At 42.7% G+C, this 20,251-nt stretch overlaps 1 protein-coding gene across 10 annotated transcripts in view, besides 2 other annotated features; it reads right to left on the reverse strand.

Annotated features, from left to right (window-relative positions):
* The window catches only part of AMBRA1 (autophagy and beclin 1 regulator 1), a 197,612-nt gene that overhangs the window by 162,183 nt on the left and 15,178 nt on the right, over window positions 1-20,251 (reverse strand). The gene's annotated exons all lie outside the window — the stretch shown is intronic.
* Window positions 7,649-8,149: an enhancer, noted in NCBI's record as "H3K4me1 hESC enhancer chr11:46587793-46588293 (GRCh37/hg19 assembly coordinates)". NCBI's record gives its function as "activates a minimal SCP1, AML or CMV promoter by ChIP-STARR-seq in naive H9 embryonic stem cells {active_cell/tissue: H9 hESC(naive)}" and the evidence as "EXISTENCE:reporter gene assay evidence [ECO:0000049][PMID:30033119]".
* Window positions 12,304-12,433: an enhancer, noted in NCBI's record as "active region_4681". NCBI's record gives its function as "activates an Ori minimal core promoter by ATAC-STARR-seq in GM12878 lymphoblastoid cells {active_cell/tissue: GM12878}" and the evidence as "EXISTENCE:reporter gene assay evidence [ECO:0000049][PMID:35858748]".

Raw genomic sequence — 20,251 nt, forward strand, 5'->3', positions numbered from 1 at the left:
ACTAATATCTAGCTGACAAATATCAAGAATTTTCTACAGAAAACCCACTATCTGCTCAATACTCTAACAAGAAGTTTTTCTGAAAATATGGAAATTAATAAATTTAGGTAACCAAAGATATCTCAAAATAAATTTATTTTATCACACTGGTGATCCTTTCTTAGGACTCGTTCTTCCTAAGTAGATTATAAACTCTGTGAGGGCAAAAAACATGTCTGTCATAGTCCCAGTACCTAGCACAATGTCTAGCGTAGAAGAGCATGAGTATGTGTATTTACTTATATTCAGAGTTGTGAAAAGATCCCAAATGAACCCAAAACTATCATAAACAGCAACATCTAGAGTTTTAAAAAGTGTGGTGGTTATGAGTTCAAAGTCATAAATTCAATTTCTACAAGTCAAATACCTTAAAAAGAAAAACCTAAGCCGGGTGCAGTGGCTCACTCCTGTAATCCAGCACTTTGGGAGGCTGAGTCGGGTGGATCACCTGAGGTCAGGAGTTCGAGACCAGCCTGGCCAACATGGTGAAACCCCGTCTCTACTAAAAATGCAAAAATTAGATGGGCGTGGTGGCACGCCCCTGTAATCCCAGCTACTCGGGAGACTGAGGTGGGAGAATTGCTTGAACTCGGGAGGCAGAGGTTGCAGTGAGCCGAGATCACGCCACTGTACTCCGCCTGGATGACAGAGTGAGACCCTGTCTCAAAAAAAAAAAGAAAGAAAAGAAAAGTAAAGACAAGGCTTTGCACCATTACCAACCTAATTTCAGCCAGTCATTTCATTACGCACATGTCATTGATCACGAGAGGGCCAGGCAAGAGAGTAAGCAAAGGACTAATCCATCACTACCTCAACTATAAGTAGGGAAGAAGAAAGAAAAATAACCTCAAAAATGGCAGTAAAATTTTTTTAATCCTCCTATTTGAAACACAGAATATTAAGAACAAAGTACAGAGACAGTGGATATTCTGATAGCAGAGATGAGAATATGGGATATTACACCTTTCGAGCTTGAGAATACTAAATACAAAACCTTCATCCTAATTTACTCCCTAAGAAAGCTGATCCTGCAATCTGGGGATATAGGAGTATCAGTCAAGTTTATAACAAGAATCAGTGATTTAATAAATAAAGATAAGACTAAGAGGTAAGAAGCTTTAATAACTGATTTTTATCGCTGGCTTGTTATATAATCTTGGACAAATCATATCCTCGCTGAATTTCAAGTTTTCCTCCAATATGTAAACTGAAAGTAATAATACCTTCCTTCTATCTTAAAGGAATAAAATCCTTGGAGAATCTTAGGGGAAATGGGTTATAAAATTTCAAGACAAGATTATTACTTTTCAAAGTAAAACTCAAGATAGAACAATAACCAGAGTATGTGATAAACAGAAGTTCACACAAAGAAGTCTCGCACCTACAGTTCTAAGAGAAAGATTGCAAAGGAAACTACAGTGATTATAAAAAGCCACAGATTACATTATCTCTAATTAACCACCTGACAAATTGAAAACAAATAATTCAACAGAACTAAGATCAATCAATTAAAATTATACACAGTCCCTTTCTTTATAAGAAGCCAAAATCCCAGAAATAAACTGTCAACAGACAGAACCTGCACCTCTACTGCACACAGGCAGCAGCATTAGTTTTTTATATATAAACTCAAAATAAGACCGACCTCTGTATAGGATATATCACAAATGGGCTAACAATTTTACAAAATGTTTTGAAGATACAAAACTGAGTAAATTCTAATTACTGTAACTATAATAAGGGGGGAGAAGTGAAGCACCAGCTTTCCTGCTACAGATTTTGCTTACTAGAGCTTTCTAAAGTAACTCACAATGATGCTGCCTAATGTCTGAAACACGGGAAAGCTTGTGCTCAAAACAAAGTGTGATCAAAACCGGAAATAGAAAGCAATAAGACCCAAATTTGAGACTGACAATTTTCCTTACTCCCACTTACCTCAGAAGGATGAAGAAAAAAGAAACGGAAGTTTTATCTGCAAATTATTCTGGAGAAAACAGTGTGCTGAGAACACAAGAACTCCTAAAAACGGAAGGAAGAACAAGGAGGAAAGCACTAAACCAAGAAGAAACTGAAGCTCAATTTTTTGGTTTCAAGCTATCAAAAGAATCAAGAAGACCAAGAAGGCTACTCTTAAATGTACAGAAATGGCAAAAGATTTCCTATTAGCAAGCAACAAAAAAAGAGTAGCTTCTGATGGAAGAAATTTCAGAGGCAAAACAGCTTAACCCCAGAAACGGAAACTGAAACCAGCTGCCTCAAACAGACCTAATGACTTTGGCAACAATATACCTTTCATCCACCAACAATATCAGGAGGCTGGAGTAGGGCCGATTTCAAATCATAAAGGATCACATCTTTCTATTCTCTGCATAGTCTTTGAGAAAGAATCCAACTCCTTCCTGGGAGCACCACATTGCCCCCAATTCTTCCTGGAAACCCCTGGAGCTACAGCAAGAATATTGTTGGGCCAGGCGCAGTAGCTCACACCTGTAATCCCAGCACTTTAAGAGGCCAAGGCAGGTGGATCACCTGAGGTCAGGAGTTCGAGACTAGCCTGGCCAACACGGTGAAACCCTGTCTCTACTAAAAATACAAAAATTAGCTGGGCGTGGTGTCACGCGCCTGTAATCCCAGCTACTCGGAAGGCTGAGGCAGGAGAATCGCTTGAACCTAGGAGGTGGAAGTTGCAGTGAGCCGAGATCATGCCATTGCACTCCAGCCTAGGTAACAAAGTGAGACTCCATCTCAAAAAAAAAAGGAAAGAATATTGTCAGAAAAAAAAAAAAGCTTTGAGAACATTAACCCAGGAATCTTCACAAGTCCTAGGACAGATGTGATTACTCATCAGACAAATAAGAAAAACAAAACCTGGAAGAGGTTAAGAAATTCATCTAGATTCACAGATGAGTCTGGAGCCAAAGCAGGATTTGAATTCAGGCTTTTCCTTCAGATAGTACCAGAGCTACACTCCCAGTCCTTGCTTGGCTTAGTAGATACTGTGTTCAGTGTTTTCCAATCTTATAGTCAGCCCAGGTCAGGTTCTTGGCTGACTAAAATAGGGAAAGAAAAAATTTCCCTCGAGGCTTCAAGAAAAGAAGTCAAATTATTAAACACAGAGTTCTTATGCTAAAAGGCCGACATGCCACCCTACCATGCCAATCACATTTCTTAGCCAATCAAAAGAAGGCATTAGATTTAAGAACCTAGTTATTTAAATCTGAGTAGAAGCTGGATTCCATTTCCCCAACTTTCCAAATAAAGAACACTTAAAGATGGGGAAGGATGTAAAAGCACTGATAAATAACCAACAAGCATTGATTAAGCAGGTATTATGTTGGCACTGTTCTAGGCACTGAGGATACTATAGTAAAGAAGAACATTCTTGCCCCCCAAAAGCTTATGTGATTTTTATATAATTAAATATTAACAATACTTTCAAGTACTGAAAAAGGCTAGAAAGAAAATATGGCAGGTGAAAGAAAACAACACACCCTTTTACCTGGGGTGGCCAGAGAAAGCCTCTCTGAGATGACATTTGAGTTAAGACTGGCATCTTGAAATAGAAACCTTGAGAAAAGAGGCAGGTGAAAAAAATATTTCAAGGAGGATGAGGAGTACCAAGTACTAAGGTCCCTAACAGGTAAGCTTAGCGCATGTGAAGGCCGGAAATAAGGCCAACATGGCTGGAGCACCACTAACAAGGAAGAGAATAAAGACAGGTTGGTACTAGCAGACCATGATAAAATTTGGATTTTATTAAGTGTAATGGGTTACTATTAGAGGATTTTAGCTAAGGAAATGACAAGATGATGGGAATTTGGGCCAGGGTTATAGCAATATAAGAGATGAATAGTCATACTCAGAATATATTTTGGAGAAACAGCTAAGGGAATTACAGATGCATTGTATTTGAGGTGTGAGAGAGAAATGAAGAGTGATTCCTAAGTTTTGGGCCTAAGTCCCAAGTGGATAGTGGAGACACTTATTGAGAAGGGTTCTACTATATGTGTTATGTTTGCGGGTGGGGGAGCAGATTAAAGGGATAAATCAATAGTTTAGGATCACTTTCTATTTTTCTATGAATATGAGCCTGAGAAAATATGAATTCAAGAGAAACTTAAATTTTTCCTATAAATTAATAGTATAATAAATATAATGCAACATTGGTTCTTTTTTTTTTTTTTGAGAAGGAGTTTCACTCTTGTTGCCCACGCTGGAGTGCAATGGCATGATCTCGACTCACTGCAATCTCCGCCTCCCAGGTTCAAGCGATTCTTCTACCTCAGCCTCCTGAGTAGCTGGGATTACAGGCACATGCCACCACACCTAATTTTTTATATTTTTAGTGGAAACAGGGTTTCACCATGTTAGCCAAGCTGGTCTCAAACTCCTGACCTCAGGTGATCTGCCTGCCTTGCCATCCCAATGTGCTGAAACTACCGTGCCTGGCCTGCTTCCTATTCTTAAATAATTATACATAACATTTGAGAGTCAAGCAAGGTAGATCACACCTGTAACCCAGCTAACTCAGGAGGCTAATGGAGGAGAACTGCTTGAGGCCAGGAGTTCAAGACCAGCCTGCAACATAGAGAACATAGACCTCATCTCTTTTTTTTGTTTGTTTTTGTCAACCAGGCTGAAGTGTAGTGGCAGGATCTCAACTGAACTGCAGACTTGACTTCCCAGGAGTAAGTGATCTTCCCATCTCGGCCTCCCCAGAAGCTGGGACTACAGGTGTATATAACTACGCCCCAGTAATTTTCTTTATTTTTTGTAGAGACAAGGTTTCACTATGTGCCCAGGCTGTTCTCAAACTCCTGGGCTCAAGGAATCCTCCCACCTCAGCCTCCCAAAGTGCTGGGATTACAGGCATGAGCCACACGGCACCCTGATGAGAAACCTCATTTCTTTAAAAGAAACCATCAGCCAGGTGCAGTGGCTCATGCCTGTAATTCCAGAACTTTAGGAAACAGAGGCGGCCAGATCACTTGAAGTCAGGAGTTTGAGACCAGCCTGGCCAATGTAGTGAAACCCCGTCTCTACTAAAAATATGAAAATTAGCTGGGTATAGTGGTGCACACCTGTAATCCCAGCAACTCGGGAGGCCGAGACAGGAGAATTCACTTGAACCTAGGAGACGGTAGTTGCAGTGAGCCAAGATCACACCACTGTACTCCAGGCTAGTCTGGCAACAAAGCGAGACTGTCTCAAAAAAAAAAAAAAAAAAAAGGCCAGGCGTGGTGGCTCACATCTGTAATCTCAGCACTTTGGGAGGCTGGGGTGTGTGGATCACCTGAAGTCAGGAGTTTGAGACCAGCCTGACCAACATGGAGAAACCCCGTCTCTACTAAAAATACAAAATTAGCCAGGCATGGTGGCGCATGCCTGTAATCCCAACTACTTGGGAGGCTGAGGCAGGAGAATCGCTTCAACCCAGGAGGCAGAGGTTGCAGTGAGCCGAGATGGCGCCATTGCACTCCACTCTGGGCAACAAGAGCAAAACTCCGTCTCAAAAAAAAAAAAAAAAAAAACGTAAGAGCAATCTTAAAGCCTTCTTAAGTACATGGCAGAAAAATCCCAGTATTAAAAAAAAAAAAAAGAGAAATCCCAGTATGTATCCAATTACATATGAACTGATAAAGACAAGTGATAGAATATAACACATATATATACACTTAAAGCAACATATTATCTAATATTCATTGAACATTTGCTACACACTTGGTAGTGCTAAACACTTTATCTCACTTTTTCCTCACAATGATACTATGAAGATGGGTACTGTTATTCCCATTTCACAGATCAGAAAACCAGGCATAAAGAGGCTAAATGATTTACCTAAGTGAAGGAGAGATTCAAAATCAAATCTGTTGCCAAATGAGCAGTATTGTATAGTGCTCTAACCATTATACAATACTGCTTCTATAAAATACAGAAAAAGAAAAAAAAAAGCTCTCTTCATGTCCTCACACCTAGAAAGTCATAATTAGAAAGAGCTGATTCAAGAGATGAGGAGAGGGAGAAAGAATTAGTAAATCTGAATGAATCTGAGTCAGAACACAGTGACTCATGCTATAACCTTGGACAAATTCTATAATATCCATGCCTCAACCTATCTATCTAAAGAAGGAGCGAACCTCACTGGAGGTTAACTATTATTTGCCTCCTAGTGGGCTATGAATATTAATTAGTATTTGTAATATATACACAGATCATCAGATGAGACAAGGAAAACTATACATTATTATTTCTTCGATATCTACAGCAAAGCACCAGAAATCACGGTAAATAAGTTATGTGCACCAAGAATGTAGAGTGTGAGTACTCTACAAATAAATCATGGCCAGGTGCAAAGGCTCATGCCTGTAATCCCACCACTTTAGGAGGCCAAGGCTTGAAGATCACTTGAGTCCAAGGTTCGAGACCAGCCTGGGCATCATGGCAAAACCTCATCTCTACAAAAAAATATAAAAATTAGCTGGGCATGGTGGCATTCGCCTGTAGTTCCAGTTACTCAGGAGGCTGAGGTGGGAGAAATCACTTGAGCCCAGGAGGCGAAGGTTGCAATGAGCCGAGATTATGCCATTGCACTCCAAGCCTGGGAGACAGAGAAAAATTCCCTCTAAAAAAAAAACGAAAAGGAAAAAGAACCACATAATTTGTCATTTTACTTCTGTTTTCCTTTTTTTTTAAATTAAAAAAATCAATATACATCACATGAATCAGCAACTGCATGCTTGGGCATTTATCCAGAAAAATGATAACTTATGTTCAGACAAAAACTTGTTATCAGCTGGGTGCAGTGGCTCACACCTATAATCCCAGCACTTTGGGAAGGTGAGGTGGGCAGATTGCTTGAGCCCAAGAGTTCAAGACCAGCCTGGGCAACATGGCAAAACCCTGTCTCTACATAAACCAAAAAAATTAGCCGGGTGTGGTGGCATGTACCTGCGGTCCCAGTTACTTAGGAGGCAGAGGTGGCAGGATCACTTCAGCCTGAGAGGCGGAGGTTGCAATGAACTGAGATCACGCCACCATACTCCAACCTGGGCTCAGAGCCAGATCATGTCTCAAAAAAAAACGTGTATAAAAATGTTAACAGCAGTTTTATTCATAGTAGCCAAAAAATTTATAAAAATTCAGATTTTTTTTTTCAGAAGGGGTCTCCCTCTGTCGCCCAGGCTGGAGTGGGTAGCATGACCAATCTTTGCTCACTGCACCCTCCACCTCCCAGGCTCAAGTGATCCTCCCACCTCAGCCACCCAAGTAGCTGCGCCCACAGGTGTGTGCCATCACATCGGCTAATTTTTTTTGTATTTTTCGTAAAGACAGATTGCCCAGGCTGGTCTCAAAGCAATCTGCCAGCCTCAGCCTCCCAAAGTGCTGGGAACACAGGTGTGAGCCACCATGCCCAGCCAGATGTCTTTCAATGGGTAAAGGATTAAACAAACTACAGTACATCCAAACCATGAAATACTGTGTAGCAATTAAAAAGAGTGGAATTGGTCAGGGCGCTAGCTCACACCTTTAATCCCAGCACTCTGGGAGGCTGAGGAGGGTGGATCACCTGAGGTCAGGAGTTCGAGACTGGTCTGCCCAACACGGTGAAACCCGTCTCTACTAAAAATACAAAAACTAGCTGGCCATGGTGGCGGGCACCTGTAGTCCCAGCTACCGGGGCGGCTGAGGCAGGAGAATCGCTTGAACCCAGGAGGCAGAGGTTGCAGTGAGCCGAGATTGAGCCACGGCACTCCAGCCTGGGTGACACAGCGAGACTACATCTCAAGAAAAAAAAAAAAGAGTGGAGCTATTGATAATATAACTTGGATGAATCTCAAGAGAATTATGCTGAGTGAAAAAGGCCAATCCAAATGGTTACATTCTATATAATTCCATTTATACAACATTCTTAAAATGACAAAGAGAGACATTAATGGTTGAAAGATTACAGACGGGACCCGGGGGGTGAGGATTGAGCTACCTAACCCCTGAAGGCATTCTCCCTGGATCTTCTGGGCAAAGCTTCATTGCAACTTTATCCACTGTGAAACTCCCTTTGCAAAAATTGTAACAGTAAGAAAAGCATGACAGTGAAAAAGATCTGACCTAACCAATCCATCTTGCCTTTAACTGCCCTTGGTCATTCCTGTGCGTAGGACAAGCTAACTTTGGGAGAAATTTAGTTTACAGTTTAAATGATAATAGCCCTTCTTAAAACTAAACCGCCATTGTAAAACTAATAAAAGGCCCCAAGTTTAGGATTATGAGAGGGGCCTGAACTCTGCTAAAATGTAAGAATATGAACCCAGGAGGCGGAGGGTGCAGTGATCAGAGATCGCACCACTGCACTCTGGCATGGGCAACAGAGTGAGCCCTGTCTCAAGAAAATAAATAAAATTAAAATAAATAAAAATGTAAGCATATTAAGTAGTGTTTGTTTGTTTGTTTGTTTGTTTGAGACAGAGTCTTGCTCTGTAGCCCAGACTGGAGTGCAGTGGTCCCATCTCGACTTACTGCAGCCTCCGCTTTCCGGATTCAAGCTATTCTCATGCCTCAGCCTCCCGAGCAGCTGGAATTACAGGTGCACACCACAACACCCAGTTAATTTTTGTATTTTTAGTAGAAACGTGGTTTCACCATTTTGGCCAGACTGGTCTCGAACTCCTGACCTCTGGAGATCCACCCACCTCAGCCTCCCAAAGTGCTGGGATTACAGGCATGAGCCACCAAGCACGGCCTTATTTATTTTTTGAGACAGAGTCTTGCTCTGTCTCCCAGGTGGGAGTGCAGTGGCGCCATCTTGGCTCAATGCATTCTCCACCACCCGAGTTCAAGCAGTCCTCTGGCTCAACCTTTCAAATAGCTGGGAGTACATGCAGGCACCACCACATTAATTTTCATATTTTTAGTAGAGATGGGGTTTCGCCATGTTGGCCAAGCCGGTCTCGAACTCCTGGCCTCAAGTGATTCGCCCGCCTCAGCCTCCCAAAGTGCTGGGATTACAGGCGTGAGCCACCGTGCCCAGCCTTTTAAGATGTCTTTTCAGACTTTTGCACTTCTGATGACAAGATGACCCCACCCCAACCAGCGATTCCTCTGTAGCCCCTAGCCAGAAGCAGACTCAGTACATAAGGACCATTTCACATGTGCCTATGATTGCAACCCCAAACCAATCAGCAGCACCCATTCCCTAGCCTGCCGTGTGCCAAACTATACTTGAAAAACCTAGCTGGGGCTGGGCGCGGTGGCTCACACCTGTAATCCCAGCATTTGAGAGGCCGAGGCAGGCGGATCACTTGACATCAGGGGTCTGAAACCAGCCTGGCCAACCTGGTGAAACCCCATCTCTACTAAAAATACAAAAATTACCCAGGTGTGGTGGCACATGCCTGTAATTCCAGATACTTGGCAGGCTGAGGCACAAGAATCACTTGAGCCCTGGAGGTGGAGGTTGCAGTAAGCTGAGATCCTGCCGCTGCACTCCAGCCTGGGAGACAGAGTGAGACTCTGTCTTAAAAAAATAAAATAAAATAAAATCCAGCTGGATGCCGCAGTGGCACACACCTGTAATCCCAGCACTCTGGGTGGCCGAGGCAGGAAGATCTCCTGAGGTCAAGAGTGCAAGACCAGCCTGGCCAACGTGGTGAAACCCCGTCTCTACTAAAAATACAAAAATTAGCCGGGAGTGGTGGCAGGCGCCTGTAATTCCAGCTACTCAGAAGGCTGAGGGAGAAGAATTGCTTGAACCCAGGAGGCAGAGGTTGCAGTGAGCTGAGATCATGCCATTGCACTCCAGCTTGGGTGACAAGAGAGAAACTCAAAAACAAAAAACAAAAAACAAAAAACAAAAAAAAAGTGGCCAGGTGCAACAGCTCATGCCTGTAATCCCACCACTTTGGGAGGCCAAGGTGGGTGGATCACCTGAGGTCAGGAGTTTGAGACCAGCCTGACCAACAGAGACACCCCATCTCTACTAAAAAGATATAAAATAAGCCGGGCGTGGTGGCACATGCCTGTAATCCCAGCTACTCAGGAGGCTGAGGCAAGAGAATCGCTTCAACCTGGGAGGCAGAGATTGCAGTGAGCCGAGACCTCACCATTGCACTCCAGCTTGGGCAACAAGAGCAAAACTCCATCTCAAAAAAAAAAAAAGGAACCCTCAACCCTACCTTTTTTTTTTTTTTTTTTTTTTTGAGACAGTCTTGTTCTGTTGCCCAGGCTGGAGAGCAGTGGCGCCATCTCAGCTCACTGCAACCTCCGCCTCCCAGGTTCAATCGATTCTCCTGCCTCAGTCTCCCAAGTTGCTGAGACTACAGGCATGTGCGACCAAGACCAGCTAATTTTTGTATTTTTAGTAGAGACAGGGTTTTGCCATGTTGGCCAGGCTGGTCTTGAACTCTTAACCTCAGGCGATCCACCTGCCTTGGCCTCCCAAAGTGCTAGGATTATAGTTGTGAGCCACCATGCCCAGCCGACCCTACCTTCTTGAGATAACCTTATAAACTCATACTTCATACAAACATGTATGCATATAATAGGTTTTGCTTCCTGAATCAAAATGGGATTATATATACCACACTCTAGCCTGGGCGACAAGAGGGAATCTCAAAAAAAAAAAAAAAAAAAGTAACCCTCCAACCCTACCCTCTTGAGATAACCTTATAAACTCATAGTTCATACAAACATGTATGCATATAATAGTTTTTGTTTCCTGTACCAAAATGGGATCATATATAACACACATTACCCTGCAGCCTACCTTTTTCACCTATTATCACTATATCACTGAGAGATTAAAAAAAAAAAAATATATATATATATATATATATATAAAGTGCCAAGCAAGATGGCAGGTACAGAATACTTTCTGACTGGGGCAAACCTAGCAGATGTTTACCATGCTAATGTAGGATAGCTGAGTTAGCCATATTCAGTGAGAGTAGAGTCTGTGTACTATAGAAATAGCATTCCAAAGAGATCTGCAAAAATGCAAGGTCTGCCTGAGCATAGTGGCTCATGGATATTTGTAATCCCGGCACTTTGGGAGGCTAAGGTGGGTGTATCACTTGAGGTCAGCAGTTCGAGACCAGCCTGGCCAACATGGCTAGTCATGTTGAGAAATGACCAGCCAACATGGCTGGTCATGAGAGAAATCCCATCTCTACTAAAAATACAAAATTAGCCAGGTGTGTTGGTATGCACAGGTAATCCCAGCTACTCAGGAGGCTGAGGCAGGAGAATCACTTGAACCCAGAAGGCGGAGGTTGCAGTGAGCCAAGATCGCACCACTGCACTCCAGCCTGGGTGACAGAGTGAGACTTCGTCTCAAAATAAATAAATAATAAAGGCCAGGCACGGTGGCTCACGCCTGTAATCCCAGCACTTTGGGAGGCCAAAGCAGGGGATCACCTGAGGTCAGGAGTTCAAGACCAGCCTGGCCAACATGGTGAAATCCTGTCGCTACTAAAAATATAAAAAAATAGCTGGGCATGGTGGTGCATGCCTGTAATCCCAGCTACTTGGGAGGCTGAGGCAGAAGAATCGCTTGAACCTGGGAGCCAGAGGTTGCAGTGAGCAGAGATCGCACCATTGAACTCCAGCCTGGGCAACACAGTGAGACCATGTCTCAAAAAAAAAAAAAAAAAAAAAAAAAAAGCAAGGTCTTCTGCAGCTACTCTAGGAGCCCATCCCCACTCTAAGTCTCCTCCATGGAACTATCCTGTGGGCCCAGAGGGAGAAGTACGAAATTATATCTTTTCAGCAGAAAATGACAAGTGGAGATAATTCTCCCATGTATAAGCTTCTCCAAAATTACATTCCTTCTTCAGGTAGAAATGTGAAGTATATTGCTGATCATTTTAAAAACATTCATTTGTAATACGAGGTATGACCACTATTAAGTGCCAATGCCTTATATACCCCATCTCTAAAGTCTCCTCCCACTCCACTCCCATTTTACAGACAAAACCCTAGCTCAACGTGATGTTACTTGCCCCCCCATTGAACAGTAATTTGATTGCTGTTAATATTTTTTTTTAAGCCAGTAAGAGATAAACTGTAGGTTAATGATACAACACTGGGTTTTTTCCCTTTATCAGGTTTTTCTATATTAACACATGACAACAGAAAAAATTCAAGACAGTTAACAAGCATGTAGGCACAAGTCATTTTCTAAATACATCTGCTGATCTTGGTTCAACTATTTTTGTCCATTTAGCATACTTTTGGAAGACTACACGATGCAGCAAGCCCTACTCCAAGAAAGGGATAGAGAACTGGAAAAAAAATAAATGAACAAAAAAGGCCTCTAACCTCTGAGAGCTTGTGGGGAGACTACAACTGCAATATACTGTAACCATAACCACTGTACTGAAATGTGGCAAGTGTTACCCTCAAGGAAGTACAAAGTGGCATGGTTTGAAAACTCCAGCTATCTTCCCAAAAGCAACAGATAATCTCTCACATTTGCCTCCTTACAATGGTTCTGGCTTCAATTCCGCTGATATTCTATAAATGACAAATACCAATTCTTATGCCTGGGCAAAAGGTCCCCAGTGTTCTTCTATACAAATCACTCAGTAAGTATGACAGAAGTTTGCCAGCTCAAGTCAGCACAAAGCTCCTTCTCCAAAAATAACCCTGTAATTTTTAGAAATTCTAGCAATGAAAATAAAGTATCTTTAACTTTTTTGTCAAATCATGGATATACAGAGTTAAAAGTGACTTAGGGATCATTTTGAACATAAAATCTTGAAAAGTAGCCATATTACAGTGGTTCACTTCTGTAATCCCAGTGGTTTGGGAGGCAAAGCAGAAGGAGTGTTTGAGCCCTAAAGTCCGAGACCAGCCTGGGCAATCTGGCAAAACCCCATCTCTACAAAAAATACAAAAATTAGCCAGCCATGGTGGCACATACCTGTAGTCCCAGCTACTCAGGAGGCTGAGGCAGGAAGACCACTTTAGCCTGGAAGGTCAAGGCTGCAGTAAGCCATGGTTTGTGTCACTGCACTCTAGCCTAGGTGACAGAATGAGTCCGTGTCTCAATCAATCAATCTTTTTTTTTTTTTTTTTTTGAGACAAAGTGTCCCTCTGTCGCCCCAGGCTGGAGTGCAGTGGCGTGATCTCAGCTCAATGCAACCTCCACCTCCCAGGTTCAAGAGATTCTCCTGCCTCAGCCTCCTGAGTAGCTGGGACTACAGGAGCGCACCACCACGCCCAGCTAATTTTTGTGTTTTTAGTAGAGACAGGGTTTCACCATGTTGGTCAGGCTGGTCTTGAACTCCTGACCTCGTGATCCGCCTGCCTCAGCCTCCCAAAGTGCTGAGATTACAGGCTTAAGCCACTGCGCCCTGCCCAATCAATCAATATCTTAAAAAGTTAGATTCACAGCCAGGCGTGGTAGCTCACGCCTATAATCCCAGGACTTTGCGAGGCCGAGGTGGGTGGATCACAAGGTCAAGAGATCGAGACCATCCTGGCCAACATGATGAAATGCCGTCTCTACCGAAAATACAAAAATTTGCTGGGCGTGGTGGCGCCAGCCTGTAATCCCAGCTACTCGGGAGGCTAAGGCAGGAGAATCGCTTAAACCCGGGAGGCGGAGGTTGCAGGGAGCAGAGATCGTGCAACTGCACTCCAGCCTGGTGATAGAGCGAGATTCCATCTCAAAAAAAAAAAGTTAGATTCACTTGTCCATTGTTATAAGACTCACTAAGGGCATCTCTAGACATAAACCCAGGGCTCTTAACTCACTGTATAGGGTTTCTTTGCACTGCTGCTGCTTTAAATCCAGTAACAATAAATTTAATGAAGTCCAAGTTTTCTCATTTAATCAATCATAGATACATCCATGAGTAAATAATCATAGCAGTTTAAAAACGAACTTCATCAAAAACGAGCACACTAAGCACCCACCATGAGGTGCATACAGTAGGTAAAGAACTGCCTATCTTTGATATGGCAGAAGCTCTTAGGCATTGGAGGGAACTGTCAATACCCACTGAAAAATTGTCAGCATTATCATCATCATCTTGACAATCAGCTAGTATTTTGGGGTGTTTACTCTGAACCAGGCACTTTACATGTTATTTCTGATCCTTACAACAACTCTTGAAAGGTAGGTGTTATCATCCCCCCACTGTACATTTGTGGTCACCAGATTTAAAAATAAGTATTCTGAGCTGGGTATGGTGGCTCACGCCTGTAATCACAGCACTTTGGGAGGCTGAAGTGGATCACCTGAGATCAGGAGTTCAAGACCAGCCTGCCCAACCTGGTGAAACTCCGTCTCTACTAAAAATAAAAAAAATTAGCCGGGTGTGGTGGTGGACGCCTGTAATCCCAGCTACTCGGGAGGCTGCAGGAGGCTGAGGCAGGCGAATCGCTTGAACCTGGGAGGTGGAGGTTGGACTGAGCCAAGATCGCGCCATTGCACTCTAGCCTGGGCAACAAGAGCAAAACTCTGTCTCAAAAAAAAAAAAAAGGATTCTGGCCAGGCATGGTGGCTCATGCCTGTAATCCTAGCACTTTGGGAGACTGAGGTGGGCTGATCACCTGAGGTCAGGAGTTCAAGACCAGCCTCGCCAACATGGTGAAACTCTGTCTCTACTCAAAATACAAAAATTAGCCAGGTGTGGTGGCACGCACCTGTAATCCCAGCTACTCAGGAGGCTGAGGCAGAGAATCGCTGGAACCCGGAGGGCAGAGGTTGCAGTGAGCCGAGATCAAGCCACTACACTCCAGCCTGGGCGACAGAGTGAGACTCTGTCTCAGAAAAACAAAACAAAAAAAAAAAAACTCAGTCCATGCATTTTTCCTGCTGTACCACACTCCCTAAGGGCAGAATAACTGCACTGCACATGTGGCTGTGTTATCAAGTCACTTCAAACTTTGACATAATTTCCAGACTGGCAGTTATGTAATTTAGCCATCTTTTCAATCTTTAGATTGGTTTAGCTAATTTTCTTTTATGATTCCTCAAATGAGTGGTCTTCCAGGGTTTCTCTTTTTAAAGAAGCAGAATCCTTTTTCTTTTTTTTTTTTTTTATTATACTTTAAGTTTTAGGGTACATGTGCATATTGTGCAGGTTAGTTACATATGTATACATGTGCCATGCTGGTGCGCTGCACCCACTAACTCATCATCTAGCATTAGGTATACCTCCCAATGCTATCCCTCCCCCTCCCCCCACCCCACCACAGTCCCCAGAGTGTGATATTCCCCTTCCTGTGTCCATGTGATCTCATTGTTCAATTCCCACCTATGAGTGAGAATATGCGGTGTTTGGTTTTTTGTTCTTGCGATAGTTTACTGAGAATGATGATTTCCAATTTCATCCATGTCCCTACAAAGGACATGAACTCATCATTTTTTATGGCTGCATAGTATTCCGTGGTGTATATGTGCCACATTTTCTTAATCCAGTCTATCATTGTTGGACATTTGGGTTGGTTCCAAGTCTTTGCTATTGTGAATAGTGCCGCAATAAACATACATGTGCATGTGTCTTTATAGCAGCATGATTTATAGTCCTTTGGGTATATACCCAGTAATAGGATGGCTGGGTGAAATGGTATTTCTAGTTCTAGATCCCTGAGGAATCGCCACACTGACTTCCACAATGGTTGAACTAGTTTACAGTCCCACCAACAGTGTAAAAGTGTTCCTATTTCTCCACATCCTCTCCAGCACCTGTTGTTTCCTGACTTTTTAATGATTGCCATTCTAACTGGTGTGAGATGGTATCTCATTGTGGTTTTGATTTGCATTCCTCTGATGGCCAGTGATGATGAGCATTTTTTCATGTGTTTTTTGGCTGCATAAATGTCTTCTTTTCAGAAGTGTCTGTTCATGTCCTTCGCCCACTTTTTGATGGGGTTGTTTGTTTTTTTCTTGTAAATTTGTTTGAGTTCATTGTAGATTCTGGATATTAGCCCTTTGTCAGATGAGTAGGTTGCGAAAGTTTGCAGAATCCTTTTTCTAAAGGAAATCTTATGTGAAAACACCAAAATGTAAAGCAGGTCAAAGTTGAGCTGCTCTGGCTTAAGCAAGGTTGAGAGAACTAAAGCTCATCCTTACTCTCATGGCCAACTCTTGGGCACCTCCAAAGAATACTTTGAAAAATACTGGTTTAAAACTGAAGACTCTGCTTTCTCCATCTCAGCTCTACCATTTGCCAGCTGTATAACCTTTGACAAAAAACAATGTTTCACTTTTTCAAACAATGTTTCACTTTCTCTCATCCTTTACAGGTTTGTTACAAATATTACATGGAAGAATAAATGTAAAACTCCCTATACACGGTTCACATTCAAAAGTTAGTTTCCTTCCTCTTTATCTACAGTGTTAATAGTTGTTGCCAATTCAAGAAAGCTCAATAAATATATCTGAAGATATTCTTGGCAGCAGAGAAGTGAACAAGTAAATGCTCCCATAGTTCAACTAGCATAAACAAACCTAATAAATCCTTCATTAAAAGTACCAGTGGTATCAGTAACTCCCTCTTAGTCCTTTTGGGCTGCTTTAACAAAATACCAAAAACCACTCAGGCATGATGGCTCACACCTGTAATCCCGGCACTTTGGGAGGCTGAGGCAGGTGTATCACCTGAGGTCAGGAGTTCGAGATCGGCCTGACCAACATGGTGTAATCCCATCTCTACTAAAAACACAAAATTATCCCAGCGTGGTGGCACGTGCCTGTAATCCCAACTACTCAGGAGTCTGAGGCAGGAGCATAGCTTGAACCCGGAAGGTGGAGGTTGTGGTGAGCTGAGAGAGCACCATTGCACTCTAGCCTGGGCAACAAGAGCAAAACTCTGTCTAAAAAAAAAAAAAACTAGGTAGCTTATAAACAACAGAAATTTGTTTTTTTCTTTCCTTTTTTTTTTTTTTTTTTTTTTGAGACAGAGTCTCACTCCGTCACCCAGGCTGGAGTACAATGGTATGATCTCGGCTCACTGCAACCTCCGCCTCCTGGGTTCAAGCAATTCTTCTGCCTCAGCCTCGCAAGCAGCTGGGAATACAAGTGCACGCCACCACGCCCAACTAATTTTTGTATTTTTAGTAGAGATGGGGTTTCACCATATTGGCCAGGCTGGTCTCGAACTCCTGACCTCGTGATCTGCCTGCCACGGCATCCCAAAGTGCTGGGATTATAGGCGTGAGCCTCCGTGCCCAGCCAGGCTTCTATTTTTCCAGGCACCACAAACCAAAAATACATCTATGTCATGTGCACCCTCACCTGAGCAATTTTAAACTGGCTCTTGCCTAAAGAATTAAGAATCCATTGCCGTGGTCTATTATTAATAACATGTTCCCATTTCTTCATGTATAACCAGGGACCAAAGCTATTTTTATAGGAAAGAGATTGCCGGTCCCAATCTAAGCCCAGTCAACTCTCAAATCACACACTCTATGGAAGCTGCAGATGTTGGCTTTGATCACTATGATTCAGGAAGAATCATAACAGTAGATTACACAGCTAAGAAAAGAGTCATTTAAGATAAGGAAGACATCCCTGAGTATGGATGTGAAATCCAAAAAGATTTAGAATACTAATCTAGTATTTTACCAGGAACCCTGAGCAATTCACCTGCTCTCTATTGATTACTGCTTTGTGAGAAAAGTGAAAATATACTCATGAAAATGCCAGAGACATTGGTGTTGCTGTTGTTTTGTAGACGGGGTCTCCGTATGTTGCCAAGGCAGGTCTCGAACTCCTGGGCTCAAGAGATCCTCCCGCCTCAGACTCCCAAAGTCCTGGGATTATGGGCATGAGTCACTGTGCCCAGCCAGACATATTGCTTTGATTAACCATCAAACAATTATGTCCCAGGGTTATCAGGGACCTCAGCAAGTCATCTCTGTCACCTCCCTCATTTCTAAACAAGCTCACACCTGAATGATCCCAGAAAGATAGTCTTTGGAGAAGATACTTCATAATATCCCTCGGTAACAACATTTCAGTATCTTGTAGTCAGGAAGTTCTTTCTAACATGTAATCTACATCCTTTATGTTGCAATTAAAACACATTCCCTCTTGTCCTGTCCTCTATGGAAAGAGAACATCTGCTTAACACCACCTGAACAATATCCCTCCAAGAGATTATAAAATATAGGAAGCCCATTTCAAATAGCTTCATGTAAATGCAACATGGCTTTATATGGGTCACCTTAGACAAAGAACATGATTAAGAGTCTTAAATTCCTAATTCCATCACTGACTTGCTCTGAAGATGATAGGAAGTTAAAACCATGCAGATGCTGTGCTTCAATTATCCCATCAGTAAAATGCAAATAATAAAACCAGTATGTTAGAACTCAGTTCTTCATACAGGAAAGAGATTCTGAGTCCCAATCTAAGCCCAGCCAACAACTCTGAAATCACATACTCTGGAGAAGCTGCAGATGTTGGCTTTGATCTCTAACATGTCAGAAGATCATTAATATATTATCATAGGACCTGCAATTCCATTCCTACCTAGGTATATTCCTAAAATAACTGAAAATAAGCCAATGCACATGCATGTTCAAAGCAACACTATTCACAAGAGCAGAAGGCAGAAACAGCCCAAATGTTCTTCAATGGATGAATGGATAAACAAATGTGATGTATACACACAATGGAATATTATTCAGTCATGAAAAGGTATGAAGTACTGATAAATATTCCAATGGAGATAAATAAACCTCCAAAACATTACGCTAAGTCAAAGAAGCCAGACACAAAAGATCACATATTGTATGATGCCATTTACATGAAATATCCAGAATAAATCAATCCACAGAGACAGAATGCAGATTGATGGTTATCAGGGGCTGGAGGAAGGGCAGAATAAGGACAAACTGCTTAACTGGTAAGGGGTTTTACTTTGCAGAGATGGTAATGTTTTGAAACTAAAGAGGTTGCAGAACATTGTGAATGTACTTAAATGCCACTGAATTGTTCATTTTAAGATGGCTAAATTTACGTGAAGTGAATTTCAGTTCAGTAAATCCTTATTCTAAAAAAAAAAGAAAAAAGAAAAAAAATTCAGCCAGGCGCGGTGGCTCATGCCTATAATGCCAGCACTTTGGGAGGCCGAGGCGGGCAGATCACCTGAGGTCGGGAGTTTGAGACCAGCCTGACCAATATGGAGAAACCCTGTCTCTACTAAAAGTACAAAATGTGCCGGGCATCGTGGTGCATGCCTATAATCCCAGCTAGTCAGGAGGCTGAGGCAGGAGAATCACTTGAACCCAGGAGGAGGAGGTTGCAGTGAGCCGATATAGCACCACTGCACTCCAGCCTGGGCAACAAGAGTAAAACTCCATCTCAAAAACAAAACGAAACAAAACAAAAACGCTAGAAGCTGAGTGTGGTGGTTTGTACCTGTAATCCAGCTACTTGGGAGGCTAAAGCAGGAGGAAAGCTTGAGTTCAAGGCTACAGTGAACTACAATCACCACTGTAGTCTAGCCTGGAAGAAAGTGTGTCTCAAATAAACAAATAAAAGAATGCTAGGAGAACTAAAAAGGACAATGTCCATATAAGCATTTCCCAGGAAAGTTACCATATAAAATTCCAGGTAGGGCCGGACGTGGTGGCTCACACCTGTAATCCCAGCACCTTAGGAAGCCGAGGCGGGTGGATCACCTGAGCTCAGGAGTTCGAGACCAGCTGGGTCAACATGGAGAAACCCTGTCTCCACTAAAAATACAAAAATTAGCCAGGCGTGGTCATGTGCGCTTGTAATCCCAGCTACTTGGGAGGCTGAGGCAACAGAGTTGCTTGAACCTGGGAGGCAGAAGTTGCAGTGAGCCAAGATCGCACCACTGCACTCTAGCCTGGGCGACAGAGCAAGACTCCATCTAAAAAAAAAAAAATCTAGGTAGGACTGTAGCCAAAATGTTTATTATTATCATATAAATATGGCTAATTAGACTCTGGGCAAAGTATATAAATCACAAACTATTAATAGAAAACAATGGCGGGGCACAGTGGTTCACGCCTGTAATCCCAGCACTTTGGGAGGCCGAGGTGGGCGGATCACGAGGTCAGGAGATCGAGACCATCCTGGCTAACACGGTGAAACCCTCTCTACTAAAAATAGAAAAAATTAGCCAGGCATGGTGGCGGGCGTCTGTAGTCCCAGCTACTCAGGAGGCTGAGGCAGGAGAATGGTGTGAACCCGGGAGGTGGAGCTTGCAGTGAGCCGAGATTGCACCACTGC

The sequence above is a fragment of the Homo sapiens genome, chromosome 11 (genome assembly GCF_000001405.40).
Source record: "Homo sapiens chromosome 11, GRCh38.p14 Primary Assembly".
NCBI lineage: Eukaryota > Metazoa > Chordata > Mammalia > Primates > Hominidae > Homo > Homo sapiens.